Source organism: Homo sapiens, chromosome 8 (assembly GCF_000001405.40).
Source record: "Homo sapiens chromosome 8, GRCh38.p14 Primary Assembly".
Classification (NCBI taxonomy): domain Eukaryota; kingdom Metazoa; phylum Chordata; class Mammalia; order Primates; family Hominidae; genus Homo; species Homo sapiens.
The window spans coordinates 98543842-98560358 of NC_000008.11; the positions used below are offsets into that span (position 1 = coordinate 98543842).

A 16517-nucleotide genomic window follows, 5' to 3' on the forward strand; every position below is an offset into this window, starting at 1 on the left:
TGGAAGATTATCTCCAGCAGCACTCAATAGCCAGGGTAAAGATGCAGAGAAGATGAACACTGAGACTGGACCATATCAAAGTTTTCCAGGAGAGGCAGAAAAGACAAGACATTAGGGCAGTGGAGTTTAGAATATAAGAGAGTGGCAGAAGCAATGAAATATAGCCTCTAAGAGGAGTTTAGAACATAAGAGAGTGGCAGAAGCAATGAAATAATGAAATATAGCCTCTAAGAGGAGTTTAGAACATACGAGAGTGGCAGAAGCAACGAAATAATGAAATATAGCCTCTAAGCTGGATATAGAAGTGAAGGGAGGGTGTGCTAATAAAAAGAAAGCAGACTAGGAACTAGGGTCAGGGAACTAGAGGGCTCTCATGATAGCATTTCCCAAAATGTGTTTCTCAGATGCTTATTACACAGGATGTTAATCACTGATACGTTCCTCATTAAAAGCTTTTCATGGTCAAATAAGTGAAGGAAAGTTTGGGTAATGTAATTTTTAAACTGTTTCCTTCCTGTACTATTTGTATTTAATAAGTTAATAATATATACTGTAGTTCTCTAATAATTTATCTCTAGGATAAATATGCATTTCCCAAATAATTCTGATTACTGTATATTATTTATCTATATTTATCAGAGAATTTCACTGAATGGGTATCTTAAGGAACACATTTTCAGAGGGTCTGCTCTGTGAAATGAGAAGCAGGGATGGTAGAACACTTGAAAAGAAAGTATCTTACCAAGGCAGGAGGTTTACCTGAAAGTTCTCTTAGCTTCCAGAGCTATGTATCTTTAATTCTACTATAACACACACACACACACACACACACACACACACACACACACACACACAGCTTGACTCTGACTCTACTGTAATTAGTATTCATTCATGAAACCAATATTCCAAGAGCATGTACTATTATGTGGCAGAGGAGATTTATACAGCATTCTTACCAGGACAAACTTCGTGACTTATCTGGAGAAACAACAGATACACACATGAAAAATAAAAACCTGGCTGGAAAATATGGCTCTTCCTCAGATACCCATAAGACATAGTTTCCCTCCAGGGCAACTAGTGCTACCAATCTAGCCACAGCTCTGTAAGATCAGAAAGTTCCTCCATAAAAACAGAGCTAACTGAGTAGATCTGAGCTGAACAAACTAAAAAGCCCCAGTCTTTCTTTGCTGAAGCTACTACTCTCCCAGAGTCACCCATGATGAAATAATCTCTCCTACCCCATCAGTTTGATGACATAGATTCTTGACCTGGTCCTAATCTACTCCAGGATAATAAATCCTAAATTGATTTTCTTGAATGACAACCAACCTGCTTTTACCCAGTGTCAAGCATTCAGAATTCCAACTGGCACAGACTAGTATGGATAAAACATAATCCATAAGGAAGAAGTAGAGATCCACATGTAAATAATGGCTAGTGCCAGACTGTGAAGGATCTTGGTGACACAGCTGAAGCCTGGACATTCCATGGGGAATGAGGAGGCCTTAGGGATATCTGAATAGGAAGACTGGGAGCGGGAGGGTAAAAGTAATGCCATCATTGCTAAAAACAGGTTTAGAAAGTTATTCTTGGGACATGCCCATAGGGTCCACGTCCATTTTTTAAAAGGCAGATCAAATTTTAAAATACTTTTTGTCATTTTTCTCCACTTCCCTTCAAAGGGTCTGTGGGTAATTTTCCTTTCTAGAGGTAAGGAAAATAGGCCCATAATTTCTAGCTTCATGGTTAAAGGTATAAAAGAGTAAGTGTAAACATAATTTAAACTGACAAGGATGTTAAATCAGGCAACTCACTTGAAACTCCAATGGAAAAAGAGATGAAATTCTAAATCTTCAGTACACATTGTAGAGATTTTAGAAAACCAAAAATAATATACTGCTATCATCTTATTAGGGAACAAAAATGCTAAAGACACATTAGCAAATGTGGCTTTGACTGATGTGACATAAGCTGAGACCTCATACCAACTAATTTAAGAAGTTTTAAAGATTTAGATCACGAGAAAAACAAAACTACAATAATTATATGGTTTCAGAAAAAGTAAGTCTTCCCTCAATAACTTCTTCACATACTTTACTACTGCTATACTACAATATGACAATCCCTAGGGGTTATACTAACATCACTTGATTAGAATTTTGGAAACACTGAAGTCTCACATTACAGAATGATGTCTAACTTGTAAAAACAAAAAACACAGAAAGTTGGCTCATGGGATTTAAAATTTGCTGAGGTCCATAAAACAACTGCAGCTATAAAAACCACTTATCTGTTCAACTTCAAAATTGGTTTTCACTAAAATCTCTGTGACAAAAAGTCATACCTATACAATCAGTTATAACAAAATTATAACATGTATTGATTTTTGTGGATGTCAAATCTAAAAGTCACTATACAAAATGTCAGAAATCTGTGGTATAAAGTATGATGTCGGAAACATCATCATTAGTCTCTCTTCCTTGAAATATAATACACTGCAATCTAAATGAATTAGATTCTATAAAGACTCATTTTTCTTAACTATTATATATATGCTGATGTTCAACTATATGACTGCATGAAAAGTTGTTCATATAGTTTCATAAGGAGCTCAGTAACTCCCTAAAGACACAAAAAAGCACTCAATGATCTAATTGATCTGTTAAGAATCATAAAATTTGAGTTAAAAATTATATCAGCTTATGGAAAATTGATATTACATGTTGATGAAAAATGTGTTAACTGTTTTACCACAGAGTCTTTGTGATCCACTTGTACCCCAACACTAGCTGGTTCTGGAGGCCATAAGACCATCCTCTGCAGTGGAGTGAGGCACGTTATGGATGCAGAAAACTTACTCTAGTCAGATGCCCAGCTAGGAATTTCAGGAAATCCAAGATGTAGGCTGCTTTCCAGGAAAAAGGCACAGAAGACCCACCAATGGCAGGAGATAGAAAATTCATACTCCACCCCCAGGATTATGGCAATATAGCAATCTATTACATTTTGTGCTTCATGATCCTCTCTATCCAAAGTACATATGCAACCATAGTGGGCTACACAGAACTAGGGAATGTGAAGAAAGCAGCAGTACTGAGCCACGTGACTTGAAGTTATGGGTCAGACCTCATGGCGGAGTAGCAAAAAGAAAAGGGTGGGCAAAAAGGAAATGGAAGTATCTGAGAGAAAATTCTGGTATCCATTTTGCAGTACCAGCAAATCACTTGAATATTTACAATTTTCTAGGTTCTACAATGCTAGAAGTCATGTAATTCTGCTGTTCTGCCATGGAGAGGCAATACTCTTCAGTGGAAAGCAGCCTAGTGCTTGCTTAGACTTTGACACTAACCACACAGGACTAGGGTAGGAGCATGACAGGAAGAAAAAGGTCAGTTGGTGCTAAGAGAAAATTCATTTTTGCCTATAACTGTGAAATCACAATGACCTACGATGTTAACTGCAGTATCTTAAAAAACTGTTTTTAAAAAAGAGAAGTGCTAGTCTGTGAAAGCATTCCTATTGTCATCACTTTGTAAGCAACAGAGGTCAGAGAGAATGTTTGATCATCATTTTAGCCACTGCAGCACCCCCAGCACTGTGCCTCACATATGATAAGCAGCAGTAAATATTCATGCAACTGAATCTTCTGTATGAGCATCCCTGTCTCTTAATCCTTCTTTCTAGTGCTTCTTATTTTCCCACCTTATTTCTTCCCATAGCTCGCACTGCTCTTTGTGGTTTAACTGATAATTTGGACAACATAAAATAATAGTCTGTTGAATTTACTGGAAGATAATTTTAGGTTCACTTTTTTAATTGGGAAAGTAAATGTTAGGAACACTATCTTTTTCTCTCTAAAATACTTTGCAAATTAAGCCGTGGGTTAGCAACCTTCAACAGAAAAAAGTTCCATAACTCTAAGTTGAAGATGTGTTGTTTTCTGCTATATTAAAATACAATTTTAAAAAGGTGACTTGTGCCATACTCTTTTTTACTGTTACATAAATCTAAGAAACAAAATTTTCCACAGTTGGCTATAAAAAGTAACACAGAACTAGCCTGGTTCCTATAAAAGTATCCTTTCGAATTAGAAAACTAATATTTAATGTAAAAAAGCCACATACTTTTCATAGTTCCATCTTCTTCTTCCTCATCCTCACTGTTTATCACCATGGTCCCCAAGTCGGATTCCAACATCGTGCTATTATGTTCAATCATGGTCTGGGCCCCTTCACTCATCGTGCTTGTGGCCCGCATGGTGCCCACACTCTCCACACTAGTCTTCACCATGGTGTGGGAATCCAGCTCATCTTCATCCTGCAAGCAAAATACTGCAATGAGGGAAGACTTTTCTATGACAGCTGGATTTCTTAATTCTTAACAAGAGAATGAATATATTATAGTTTTAATACTTATTAAAAATACTATTAGTACTGATTTTAATATAAATACATACATACAAATGTTATTTTAAGAGTGAAAATTATTCAAAATAACCTAAAGCTTTAGGTAATTACAGATCAAGCAACAGAAACTGATGAAGTAGAAGGCTGCTAGTTGCTTTTAAAATAAGGATTAAGATAGGTAAACTATCAGCAAATGCATAACAAAGAATATGGTGACAAAACAACTAAATATATATGAGAGCACCTTTAAGACAGAACACATTGACACTTTGTATTATAATGGGCATAATGATGTCTATAACCTTGTAAAACAGCCATTAGCTTTTTCTTTTAAATTATGGCAAAATATACAAATACATATATATAAAATTCACCATTTTAGCAATTTTTAAGTGTATAACTCTGTAGCACTAAGTATATTTACAATGTTGTGCAACCACCACCATTATATGTTTACAGAACTCTTCATTCCCCCTTTCCCCAGCCCTGGCAACCTCTATTGTACTTACAAGAGGTATCTAGAATAGGCAAATTCATGAGTACTACTATTCATACCATAGTACTAATTCATAATTACTATTATACTTATGAATTTGCCTATTCTAGATACCTCATGTAAGTGGAATCATACAATATATTTTGCTGAGCCTAATGCATTCAAGATTCATGCATATTGTGGTAGAAAAATTTCATTCCTTTTTAAGGCTGAATGATATTCCATTGTATGAATACACCACATTTTGTTTCCCTATTTATCTGTTGATGGCCATTTGGATTGTTGACACCTTTGGCTACTGTGAATAGTGCTAATGTGAACACTGACCTACAAGTATCTGTTTGAATCCCTATTTTCAGTTTGGTTGGGTATCTACCTAGAAGTACAATTGCTGGATCACATGGTAACTTCATATTTAATTTTTTAAGTGCCCAAACTGTTTTCCACAGTGGCTATACCATTTTACACTCCCACCAGCAATGCACAGGATTCCAACTTCTCCACATCCTTGGCAACACTTGTTATTTTCCATTTTTAAAAAATAATAGCCATCCTAATGAACATGAAGTGTTATCACATTGTAGTTTGATCTGCATCTCCCTAATGACTACTGATGTTGAGCAATCTTTTCGCACGCTTATTAGCCATTTGTATATCTTCTTTGGAGAAATATCCATTTACCCATTTTAAAATGGGTTGTTTGGTTTTTCTGTTGTTATTACAAATTCTGGATATTAATTCCTTACCAGAGATATAATTTGCAAATATTTTCTCCCATTCTGTGTGCTTTTTACTTCATTTATAGCGTCTTTTGATGTAAGTTTTTAATTTTGATGAAGTCTGATTTATCAATTTTTTGCTTTTGTTGACAAATCTCAGCTTTTAAATGTTTCACAGAAGAATCAAGTCAGTAATAAAAGTACAAATTAAAAGTGCTCTTTAGAACATTCACCAAAGATATACTGGAATAGGGTCATAAAAATAAATTAACAAATCCTGTTTGAAAGACCAACTGATAATCACAGTGCTTTGGGAGGTCAGGGCAGAAGGCCAGGAGTTTGAGACCAGCCTAGGCAATGCAGCAAGACCTTGCCTCCACAAAAAATTTAAAAATTAGCTGAACACGGTGGTGTGCCTGTAGTCCTAGCTACTTGATGGGCTGAGGCTGGAAGACTGCCTGAGCTCAAGAGTTTGAGGCTACAGTGAGCTATGATGGTGCCACTGCTCTCCAGCCGGGGTGACAGAGCAAGACCCCATTTCAAAAAGAAAGAAAGGACCAAAGAATCTGCTATTTAGAAAAACTTGATTACGCACGGAAATTCATTTATATTTATTCCATTTTTAGTAGAAACATATAAGCAAAATCTAGTTCTGGCAGAGGTCAAAATGCAAATCTGAGAACATCAATGTTGAGTTTCAGCAACTTGGGTTGTATAATATAACAACAGTTGGACAGCTGTTTGATACCTTTCCTCTTCCTAAACCTACATGCTAAGCTTGGGCATTAGGTCTCAAAGTCGTTTGCACTTCTTTCATGATCCTTTCTCTTTTAGAAGACCTCTTCATTCTCATGCCTTCAACTATCTAATAAGTTGAGGAGTCTCAAATCCTGAAATCTTCCTATGTCTTTACTTATTACGTAAATACTTAAAGATGTCTAAAATTTGACAGTCCCAAATCAGATATTATTTCATTTATCTCTCCAGTCTCTCCTATCTGTCTCCATCCCCAACAACCACCACAAAGCATGGTAATCTTCACTTGCTACATAAAACTTCAATGTCTTCTTACATTTATTTTCTCTTTCATTCCCTATATATGCATCAGTCAACTAGTTCTTTAAATAATTCTCTCTTAGCTCCATCTCTTCTTTTCCATTCCCACTGCTACTGGGTATAATCCTCACTACATCATAGGTGGTTTACTGCAGCTAATGCTTCCTGACTGAGGACTCTCCCATCTAACTTTCTAGAGTCAGACAGACATTAGTTCAAATCCTGGCTCAAATCACTTATGAGGCATAGGATCCTTGTCTCCAAAGATTGATGATTAAATAAAAAGGTAAGCAAAATGCCTGCATGCTACCTGGAACAAGGTAGTTTCACACCTTCCTCAAAGTACACGGCATTATACTAACCTTTCTTGAATACTATTTCTATCATTCTAATGAAGAATCTACAATGGCTCCCAGTTCCTGCCTTCATTAAAGCTAAACATTTCTGCCTAAATTTCAATGTCTTCTATGGACCAATCCTATTTTCCCATTGTTCATATAACCTCCAATACAGGCAGGCTGGACTTTAACTGAATCTCTTTGCCATAACTCCATATGATGCTATGTTCATTAAAGACTTCCTTTGTGTACGTCTTATTCTCTATCCAGAAGGTCCTTCCCCTCTATCCATTTAACTAAATCATACCTAGTTTCAGATCAAGTATCTACTACTTCCATGGCTAATTCAGTCTTTGTTAATTATTCTCTTTTCTAAACTTCCATAGAATTTACAACCGGCATTAGACACTTCTGTATTCAATTTATGATCTCATATTGCAAGCAATTGTTTTGCAAAATCTTTTATAAATGTAAGTACCCTATGGACAAGAATGTCTTAGAGTACCTCTGAATCCACTAAAGTGCTTCATTCAGTATTCAAAACACAGTAAGGGTTTGTGAAAGTTGTCAGAATCAAAATGAAGTCATTTCTGTTTAAAACAACAAAAAAACAAACAAAAACCAACCCTGACAAATGGAGCAAGGGAAAGCCATAAAGAGATGGTCCTCATGCATAAATGCCTGATAGCGAAAGCTATCACAAAAGACTGCCAGAACCACTATCTTGCACAAAGGCCATTGCAATCTTACATGAAAAATACTGCGAGGACATCTACCCAGCAACTGCCTATCCAACCACAGACTGGCGCACAAGGATAAGCACTTCAAAACAATTAGGCAGTTCTCCCCATTTTTCCTTTAAAAACCTTTGTCTTCCTTTACCCCCCGAATATGCACATTGTTTTGTATAGCACCTTTACTCGCACTGCCCTATTCTAAAATAAATGTTACTTTCTTTTAGAGAGTCTTTGCTATTTAGGTTGACACGTTCAATACATATTGACTTTTTCATGGAATTATAAAATCAAGGACCTTTACAGTTAGAGAGAAACTAATTCAAACCATCATTTTATATCTGAAAACACTGAGGTCCACAGAAAATAAGAGACTTCCCTAAGGTCACACACCTACTTAAAAGTAGGTCTGGGACTAAGAAACAAGTTCTTTTATTTCTTAGCCCATTATTCTACTATATACATGTACCTGAATTATGTTTAAATTTTTCTCTACTCAAATGCTTAAGTTGGAGATGTAAGCTCACAATTTTTAAAAGCTTATATCACCACCTTCTATTCCCAGAGTCCCATATAAATTATTCCATCCATTCTAGTCCAAGCCACCATCTTCTCCCACTTGGAGCATGAAAATAGCCTACTGACTGTTCTTATTGTTTCCATTTTTGCCCCTTTTAGTCTCACTCACATAGGCAGATTGATCCCTTCAGAAGACAAATGACATGTTACTCTCCTGCTAAGAACTCTGCATTTGGCCTCCTATCACACTTAGAATAAGATCCAAAACCTTTATCATGTCCAAATGTGATCTGGCCTATCCCATCTAGTAATATCTGCCAATCCCATCTCCTATCACATTCCTTCTTGCTCACCAAGCTCTAACCAAGCTGACCTCCTTTGCTGTTTCTTGAGCATTCTAAACATGTTCTTCCTTTTGAGCCTTTAAATTGGCTGATCTCTCAGACTGGAATGCTCATCCATAAATCAGTTTGATAATTTATTTAACTCAGGTATCTATTTAGCTGTGACCTCTTCGGTGAAGCTTTTTCTGACCACCAATCTAAACTAAAGCCTCCATCATTTTCCATTCTTCTGTATTCTTCACAGTCTATATCTGGCCTTTACGACCACTAGAATGTAAGTCTGATGAAGACAAGAGACTGTTTTAACCTCTGAATCCTCATTATTAAAACACCTAGCATACAGTAGGTACTTGATAAATATTTATTTAATGAATAAATCAATTTATATTTTCACTTATTAATCATCCAACAAGCATTTATTGTACATCAAGTAGTACACCAGACATTGGAGATGAATAAGATAGTTTAATTCCATTTCAGTTTTTAGGGAGTTTGAGATCTAAGGGAAATCTACTACCATGTGAACAATAAGTTACAGGACAATCTATTAAGTGCTACAAGAAAAGTGTTGACAGTAAAATGGGAATACCAAGAGTAGAGCCTCTAACTCTGCCTTTAGAAAGTGAAGAAGGTCTCACAGAGGAGGCTGAACTTGAGTCAGCTCTTAAAAGATGAGTAGACTATATATTTAACATACAACAGATACATTTGGGTGGAGTGTTTTACAACTTTTTACATTAGAACTACACTCAGACACATTCCTTCTCAGCTCAGACACCCCAAGATTGAATTAGGTGTCATGCCTCTGTATTCCCATAGTACTCTGTGCTTATGCTGATTTTACAGTACTGTAATTGTCTATTCACTTACCTTGTCTAAATCCCCCATTAGACTCTCAAATCTATAAGGGCAGTAACCACATCTTGTTTACAGTTGTATTCCTGATGTCTGGTAAAAAGCAATGTTCTTATTATGTAATTTATTGAATGAATGTTAAATGCCTCATTATGAGGTAATGCCAAAACACAGAATGAAGGACAATTTTATGAGGTTCTAGTAACATGTTCTTATTATAAAACATAGAATAGCTATTAAAGATATTATACTTTGGGACAGGAAATAATGCCATTAACTACAATTATTCAGTTGATCATTTATTTAATAATGAAAAAACACTTATCAATGAGTTAGAAGCACTATGCTAAGGTCTTTTTAATTCTCTTTCGGCTGGGCATGGGGGCTCACGCCTTTAATCTCGACACTTTGGGAGGCCGAGGTGGTTGGATCACCTGATGGCAGGATTTCAAGACCAGCCTGGCCAACATAGTGAAACTCCATCTCTACTAAAAATACAAAAAATTAGCCAGGCATGGTGGCACGTTCCTGTAATCCCAGCTACTTAGAAGGCTGATGCAGGAGAATCATTTGAACCCGGGAGGCAGAGGTTGCAGTGAACCAAGATGGCACCTGGGAGACAGAGTGAGACTCCATCCCAAAGGGAAAAAAAAAAAAAGTCTCTTATTAACCCTCAGAGGTGCTATTATTCCTCTTAGGCAAAGGAACCTGAGGCTCAAATAGGTTTCATAATTTGTCCAAGGTCATACAACAAATAAGTAGAGAAGCAAGAATTCTAGGCAGGTCTAATTCTAAAGCCTAAGACCTACCTTCTAATTATGTAAGGCTTTTAAACTATCTACAGCATTTCTCAAGCCCCATTTAACTCATACTACAGGTTTGCAAGAACATGTTTCATTTTCCGAAGTAAAGAGATGAAGATGATTTTCTATCAGTTCCTTTTTTCAAATCTGCTGGTTGAATATCTTATTTTGTCACGGTTGCAACCAGTTTATTCCCAAAACACTAACTCTATTTTAACACGTGTGAGTCATTTTTCTCTTATCCTTGTGAGATTCAATGCTGTGACCATTAAACTTAACAAGAAACATAACATCTGATTGGTATAAAATAGTCCTTAGCCTCCCTATATTCTACATTAGAGTTGAATCTACAAAGGGACAATAAAGCCTGAACCTCTGGATTCACACAATTGGCTTAGATAAAATTGTAAAAACATTGAATTAAGTTTGGAAGGGATTGATCTTACTGCATATTATTTTTACTTACGTAGTCAATTTGCTAAAGAATGCTAATCTAATTTACAAATTGACAGTAAAAAATAGCAATAAAAATAGCATGAACACTCAATTCACTAATGAGAGGGTGACACACAAATAGAAATTAATAAAGTACAGATGGAATGATAACTAGTTAAACGAAATTAGAAAACTCACTTATAATTTGGTGATGGTGTTGAAAACTTTTAAGCCACAGCTTTTACTTTTTAAAATTCTTAACTTATTCTTGATATTTTAGATTAGTATTATAATTTCATTTGATACTTTTTATATTTTTATAATGAAACATTTATGTTTTTTCAAAATTATATTTCACTTACATATACTCTGTTATTCCTCACAAAAGAAAAGCAGAAGAAAAACATGTTGATACTTCATAGAAAAAGGTCTGCAGAACAGATGCTTCCCCACTGTAGAAAGCAGCCAATTCCAGTAAGGAATACAATAGCATTTTCAATCAGTGGCCATCATGTGCCAGGAATGCAAAACACAGTACTGATGATAATCCAGTTTATGAATCATAAAATCCACATGGAATACAAATATTTGAAAACATTATTAGGAAATCCTACTCCACTGCTAAGACATGCTTATGCTAAAACAGCCTGAGAAATAATCAGAGATTTTGCATTATCTACTAGTAGATATTTGTAATATCTACTACCTTAAAGCATTTTCTAAATACTCAGTAATTGACTGAATTAAGGATAAAAAGTATTTATCACTTGTGAGACTAATTTGTCATTAGTGTCACAAAAGACAAATACTTTAGAATATAAAATTGTTTCTATATTCTCAAAATGTTTAGAATATAAAAATAGAATATTTCTCAGTTAGGATACCTGTTTAGTGAGACAGTTAGACTACTCCTTAAACAGGTGTCCTAAACGGAAAATATTCTAATTTTATTTTTCTTCTTAAAATGACATTAAACACTTCTTTATTGCACATGCAATCACATAACAGCATAGTATCAGTATCAGAGCAGTGATCTTAATGGCTTTCATTCAACTGGACAATTCTAACGAGTATGCATTCTGCTATAGCATGAAAAAAATATTCTTCAGAAAAAAACGTGTAAAATATATACTTGAAACAATTATACAAAAAGTTGCATTATAGTGGTCTAAATATTTTTAAAACCTCTTAAAGGTGCTAATTAAACAGCAAACAATAAATGTAACAAACATACTACAAATACATAGCTGAGTTTTCAAGATAGTAAGGGCTCAAAACGGAGCTATGGTAATAAGCCAAATCTAACTTGAAGGCTTCTTTAGAGGCATGTGATGATGGGGGTGGGGGATTAGTGGTTAAATAAGGTTTATATTTTAACAGATAAAAGGGAAAAGGGAAGTATTTGGATTCTTTCCAAAGTAGAAATGAAACCTCCACTTAAAATTGGGAATTTTGAAAGTCTACATCCTCAGCAAAAGGATAGGCAAGAAACAATTTACCCAGTGGCAAAGGAGATGACAAGTCTTACCTGAGCTAGGTAAGGTAGGGGACAGGGATTGGGAAGCCTCCCTAAGGTAGGGGACAGGGATTGGGAAGCCTCCCTTTAGAATTTATAACCATGGTTTAGGCCTTCAATTTTACATCACTCACACGCTCTAGGGGAACCTCAAACTGAGAAGTTAACCAAATATAGCCCCAGTAAGGTAGCACCCCAGGTGCCTGATAGAAACAAATACAAATCCATATTACAGGGACGCATACTGAACCCTCAACTCACACCATTCTCAGAGATAAAATCTAGCCAAACGTGAACTCACTATCCCAAAGATAAATACATGAGTAAACAAGCCACTGAGAATGGGTAGAAAGAACAAACAACAGAATTAAGATGCCCTTGCTCCTTAGAATTAATTTAGTCCCCTTAGAAAGCTGGATCTTGGGGTAAAATTAGGGAAGAATAGACAGTGGCATTCTAAACTGCAGAAATAACCGAGAACAAAAGTAGAAATATTCCAGCTAGAATGGAAAGCAATGAGTAAGTTTGATTGAATTAGGGAATGTCCTACAGCTCATGGATGCTTTCAACACTGGGAGCCCAGCATAAGTTGCTTGGCAAAGGAGTGATAGGAACCTTGGGAACTAAAAGATGATTTGGAGAAGGGAAAGACTGGAGAAAGACTAGAATCAGACGGTTATTACTAGAATCCAGATTTGAGGATAATTAATTAGAGCCTGTACTAAAAAGGGTCATATAGTAACAGAAATGACAAGCTGAATCTGAAAGAAATCACCAAAGAGGAATTAACATTTTCTAGAAAGTTTCTAGGCAGTCAAATATAATGGATCAACAATAACTCCAATATTCAGAACCTAAAGAGATCAAACTGAATCTAAAGAGAAAGTTGAGAGAGATTTTAATTTGAATAAAATAGGTAACACCAGTTATTTGTAATCAAAAAATGACTTACTATACTTTGTCACTTGACCATATGATCAAGGAAATGAAATCTAATTATTCATTTTCCCATCAAGTAAGAAATCAACAAGGCATGTCCAATGCAACTGCAAGATGAGCACAAAACTGGGGAAAACTAGGGTAAGAATCTTTCACTTCTTTCCTCATGCATAACGGAATTCGGGGGCTGGTGACTGCTTGATGCTAACATGTTAACCTAGGTCGATAAATATATTTTAATCACTGAGTTAGAAAGGCAAAAATCAAAGGGTACTATCGTACATTTGCTTGTATGTCTCGAATCATGTAAGATTCCTACTAAACTAAAAACACTCTTTCCTATAGCAAGGTGAAACTACTGATGTGACCAACAGAGCATTACCTTGAAACTGTACTTCCAACTCTGGTAAAGGATAGCAGTTATCCCATTGTCCTTGTTATTAATACACAAGGTTGTACCTGTTTGTTGTTTCTGTGTTCCAAGTGAAATTGCCCACAGTAGATCAACTGGTAACTCTGATCCAACTGAGCTAAAAATTACTGAGAAAACATCAAAAATAGTCTCTTTCAAATAGCCGCCCTTAAGTGCCACTTCAATGTCTGACGGGCTGAAAAAAGTAACAAATTGGTATTCACCCATTAAAAACTAAGATTTACAGTATCTGAAAATCTATAAAAAGAATTAATTGTCTTCTCACTGCTGTAAGTAGGTGGTCTTTCCCTTTCACTACGAAATCAGCTTAATAGCTTATACAGCTGCTGTCTTTGACATACCTGTCTTTAGCAAACAGAAACTTCATGGATCCTAACTTTTTGCACATTCACAGGCATGTTTTAAAGTTACATCAAAGCTTTCAGGATCTCCAAACGTCATAAAAGACTTATTCATCAGTATAACAAGCCTAATTGGTGAAAAGGCATGTGGGCAGGACTTCAGAGGCTCCATGATGCAAGACTGTACAAGTTTTTGGCATTATAGGAGAAGTTTCCAAACAAAAGATTACCTTACATCTCCTGTGCACAATACTAATATACAATAGAGTAAATTAAAAGTAAAAGCAACCTTAACCGTGACATTTCTTTTTTCTTTCACAGCCAAAAGCATGTCAAAGGATTGACAAATATAAAGAAACTTATAAAATCAAATATTTTAAAATAAGAATGACACCTTTAAAAACTGTTGTGTTCTTACAAGCAGTTTATAAAACATCCACAAGAGGGAACCAAAGACAAAAGACTAAAATTCCACTATTTGGAGATTTACACAAATAGGTTTATAAAATAGGTTATTACATTAACTAACATACCATCAATAGCTTTCAGAAATAGGCTAATGGTTTCTTGATACATTTTTAAGCAGTGATATATTTAAAAATACTGTAACCACTGTCATGTTGATACCTTTATATAAGCAATGTTTATGTTCCTCAAGGACAACAAATGTCTTTCACATTCAGTAACCTCCACTTGCATATAATAGCATGAACTCAATGAACAGGTGGTGATTCCACAAAATTTATAGAAGTATACAAAAGTAAATAATGAATATTCATATTAATTTATCAAAACTTCATTCTAAATTGCTTTTATATGAAAAGATTTATGATTGTATATATCTTATGTTCTTAGAACAAATACAACTAAGGGCTAAAGGGTCTTTAAAAAGATTTTTTTCTTTTCTTCATTCTTTCTTTCTCTCATTCCTTTTCTCTTCCATTATGATAGTATTTTTAAGAGTTAGCAGAAATTTTGTTGTTGTTCTTTTTGGTTTGTTGGTAGTAAACAGAAATTTTAATACATAAATTGTATTTTTATTGTTTAAATTTTAACAACAGAAATATCACCTACATAAACTTAGATATAATTTTGTAAAATAATTTTAGAAAATTTCCAAAACATACAATTCAAAAGAAGACTACTTGAAACATGCTAAAGTAACAATATTGATTTTAACATACAGTTTACATCACTGAACTTCCTGATAAAAATGAAATTCTGGGGCAGAAAAATGTCAGGGCAACAAAAAACAATCTCCCCCACAACCCAAATATTTTTCACACATTTGACTTAAGCATTGCTGAAGAAATACTTCATGTGCAAGTATACACCTTATTAATTATTAAATGCAAATACATTCTGTGTTGATGATTTTGTGGCTGGCACTATCCTTAATGATGAGTAAAAGTCAGGCAAAACCTGTTTAAAACAGTTTTATACACGTGTTTCTTGATTTGATAAGTATTTACCAATTAAATATTTATGTAATAAATGTTTGCTGTGTGCCAGGCAAGTGTGTTAAGGTATAATCTTTTCCTTGAGAAATGTATAGTTTAATGGGGAGTTACAAAATAGACAAACACAGTGAGATAAATATTCTCAGAGCTAAACGCAGTATTCCATGGTGAACACAGAGGAGCACTTGCCAAACTGAAGCCTGGAGGAGCCCCATGAAAGGCTTCCTCTTTCCAGAGGAGGCAATGGCTAGGATGTCAAGACAAAAGCAGCAACCTACACTTTTCTTTAACCACTTTTTGAGCAATCCAATCTATGCTCATGGTTTAACTACCAACTGCGGAAAGCACTGATTTCCTAATTTGCCTGAGTTCTCCCTTGGGATTCAGACCGCTGTATCCAACTGCCTGCTACACAAAATGACTTAAATGACCTATGGACATCGCAAATTAAATAACTGCTAAAGTGATCTCATCTTACACAGAAATACGCCTTGGAGAGAATACTGCTGGAGAATACTTCAGCCACAGTGTAAGTGCAAAGTGAAAAAACAAAGGCTCTGACTATGCTATCAAGAAGTTTAGTTGTAAATAATTTGTTGTTTTTTCCCTTATTTTTTAAATGGTCAAAGGATAACTATATTTTGAATGAGGAAAAAGGGCCCAGAAGAAAGGGATAATGTAGCTGACTAAAGAAACAAGCAGAGAAGGGGCCTTTTGAGGGAAGTAAAAAGAAAACCAAGAGCAATAAAACAATTACTGTTCATGCATACCTCTATCACAGTACTTGCTACATTGCATTATGATCAGTTATCAGTTTATTTGTCTCACTCATTAGATTGCAATCTTCTTATAGGCAATTACCATGTCTTATTTTTCTTCCATATCCATATTTATAAATGGGAAAAATATATAACCTCTGAACCAGGGAGACAAGGAAACATAGTGAGGATACAGAAACATATTAAAGTTAAAAGAAAACTGAGGTCTAGTTAGTACAATAAGAAAAAAGTTATAAAGATTGGAAAGAAACTATCTATATTTGCAGATGACATCATTGTCTGTGTAGAAAATTTCACAGAATCTACAAAAAACTCCTAGAACTAATAAAAATTAGTGTGTG

At 35.1% G+C, this 16517-nt stretch overlaps 1 protein-coding gene across 16 annotated transcripts in view; it reads right to left on the reverse strand.

Moving 5' to 3' along the window:
- STK3 (serine/threonine kinase 3) overlaps window positions 1–16517 on the reverse strand; it is a 598636-nt gene that overhangs the window by 199867 nt on the left and 382252 nt on the right. For all 16 annotated transcript variants that reach the window (XR_007060753.1, XR_007060752.1, XM_047422133.1 and 13 more), the window contains one exon: window positions 4128–4320. Coding sequence is in view for 14 of the 16 variants with exons in the window: in XM_047422133.1 (XP_047278089.1) it covers window positions 4128–4320 (193 nt within the window). In the remaining 2 variants the exon portion in view is untranslated. The remainder of the gene's footprint in view (window positions 1–4127; window positions 4321–16517) is intronic.